The following is a 2,314-nucleotide window of genomic DNA, read 5'->3' on the forward strand; positions in this document are numbered from 1 at the left end:
TCTACTAAAAGTACAAAAATTAGCCAGGCGCGATGGCAGGCGCCTGTAATCCCAGCTACTCGGGAGGCTGAGGCAGGAGAATCGCTTGAACCTGGGCGGCAGAGGTTGCAGTGAGCTGAGATCGTGCCACTGCACTCCAGCAGCATGGGCAACACAGTGAGACTCCACCTCAAAAAAAAAAGAAAAAAAAAGAAGTATTTGAACTTACTGTAATTATATCAGAGAAAATAGTTACATTATAAAATGTGCAATTCATAAAAAATAAGGCAATAGAAATGTAAACAAATGTATGATCTCCACTATAAGAATGATGTAAGAACGGGCGCGGTGGCTCATGCCTGTAATGCCAGCACTTTGGGAGGCCGAGTTAGGCAGATCGCTTGTGGTCAGGAGATCATGACCAGCCTGGCCAACATGGCAAAATCCTGTCTATACAAAAATACAAAAATTAGCCGGGCATGGTGGCGCGTGTCTATAATCCCAGCTACTCGGGAGGCCGAGGCAGGAGAATCACTTGAACCTGGGAGGTGCAGTTTGCAGTGAGCTGAGATCGTGCCACTGCACTCTAGCCTGGGCGAGACAGCAAGACTCAATCTAAAAAAAGAATGATGTAATATTTTAAACAATAAATGTCTAAGCTTTTTAATCTAACTGCCACTGTTTTGCATATATGTGTATGTGCATAAGCACGTGTGTGTGTGCACATGCATGCAAATGTGTCTATACATGTGTGTATATAAGTGTATATGTGTATACACATATATAATAGTAATCATAAAGCAGAGTATCTCAGAGTGCTGGTGAGTATATATAAATACTTGCAATTTCCTTAAAGCAAAAATAGTGATATTGAGTCAATAACTTTGCTAGATTATATATTCTTTGAGCCAAAATTTTACTTATGGAAGTGAATCCTAAGGAAAAAGCAAAGAAAGAACACAAAAAATGTAGCCACCAAGGTATTTTTTTCAATATGATATTCGTGGAAACCATTAAGCTTTCAAAAATATGAGATTGGTGAAATAATGAAACTGTTCCATATTTTAGAGTATTTGACAGCCATTAAAATACTTCTATGGAAAATCATTAATAAAATAAAGCTTCAATGAAAATAATTATATATAATTACAGCAATATATTTCTAGTAATAAAAACATATTTATAGATTAAGGTACATATAATTATGGATATACATAAAATATTAACAATTTTTTGTGTTTGTAGAATTATGGATTTTTATGTGTTTAATGTTTTGGAGTAAATATAATTTACTCTTACATTCAGAAAAATGAACAAAATAATAAAAATAACATTTGTTGCAAATATAAGACATTAATATATTAATATGCCAAATGTAGCATACCTTAATATTATTCATGTTTAAAATTCTTTCAATTTGGTAAGAAGCATGTTAAAACTATGATTTGATATACAGTAAAGGATGAGAATTAAAAAGTTGTTAATAGAAAACACAAAAATATTTCCATGAATAATAAAATGTGCATTCAAAAAGCAATTAGAAATAACTTTGGATTATAAAATGTATTTTAAATAAAAATAATAAATTATGACAAGGTTGCATGATATAAGCATTCCCACACTGGTGGGAAAAAAAAACAGCTAAATATGAAGTATCTTAAAAAATTAACAACATGTATCAAGATCCTTAAAGATCTTCTTTCATATTTATCTGATAATCTCACTTTTAAGAATTCTTTCTAGTGATTAAAAATGCAAAATGAACTGATATGCAAAGGTATTTCTTGATGTAGTAATTTTAATAACACAAGTAATTTAAGCCCAAATTATAATTATTAAATGCTTAAATGCAGCCCCCCTCAGTAAACCTGGAGAATATATTTTAATGTGATTCTTCTCCATACTATGTGATGATACAAGAAAAAAATACGTTGTTTTATAGATTACTCAAAGTAAGTAAAGATTTTTAAAAATCTCAGTTGTGCAAACACCACACATGCACACAGAAGAAGAAAATAAAAATTTTGTTAATTCTCATTGTGGAACACAAATAAACATATTTTTCCCTATGATTTTCTCAATTGTTTTATTTATTAAAAATTCCCATTACATTGAGAATTCAATACTTTGATACATAAATACATTTTCAAGTTTAAAAAATACACCCTATAAATATTTTTCTTTAAAATGCATGCTATCAGCCAGGCGCGGTGGCTCACACCTGTAATCCCAGCACTTTGGGAGGCCAAGGTGGGCAGATCACTTGAGCCTAGGAGTTTGAGACCAGCCAGGGCAACATGACGAAACCCCATCTCTACTAAAAATACAAAAACAT

General features: G+C 32.2%; 1 annotated feature.

Annotated features, from left to right (window-relative positions):
• Window positions 1,800-1,969: an enhancer, noted in NCBI's record as "experimental_99672 CRE fragment used in MPRA reporter constructs". NCBI's record gives its function as "activates a minimal promoter by MPRAs in K562 erythroleukemia cells, with activity observed for both the introgressed and non-introgressed 7:52116462 variant alleles {active_cell/tissue: K562}" and the evidence as "EXISTENCE:reporter gene assay evidence [ECO:0000049][PMID:34662402]".

The sequence above is a fragment of the Homo sapiens genome, chromosome 7, assembly GCF_000001405.40.
Source record: "Homo sapiens chromosome 7, GRCh38.p14 Primary Assembly".
NCBI lineage: Eukaryota > Metazoa > Chordata > Mammalia > Primates > Hominidae > Homo > Homo sapiens.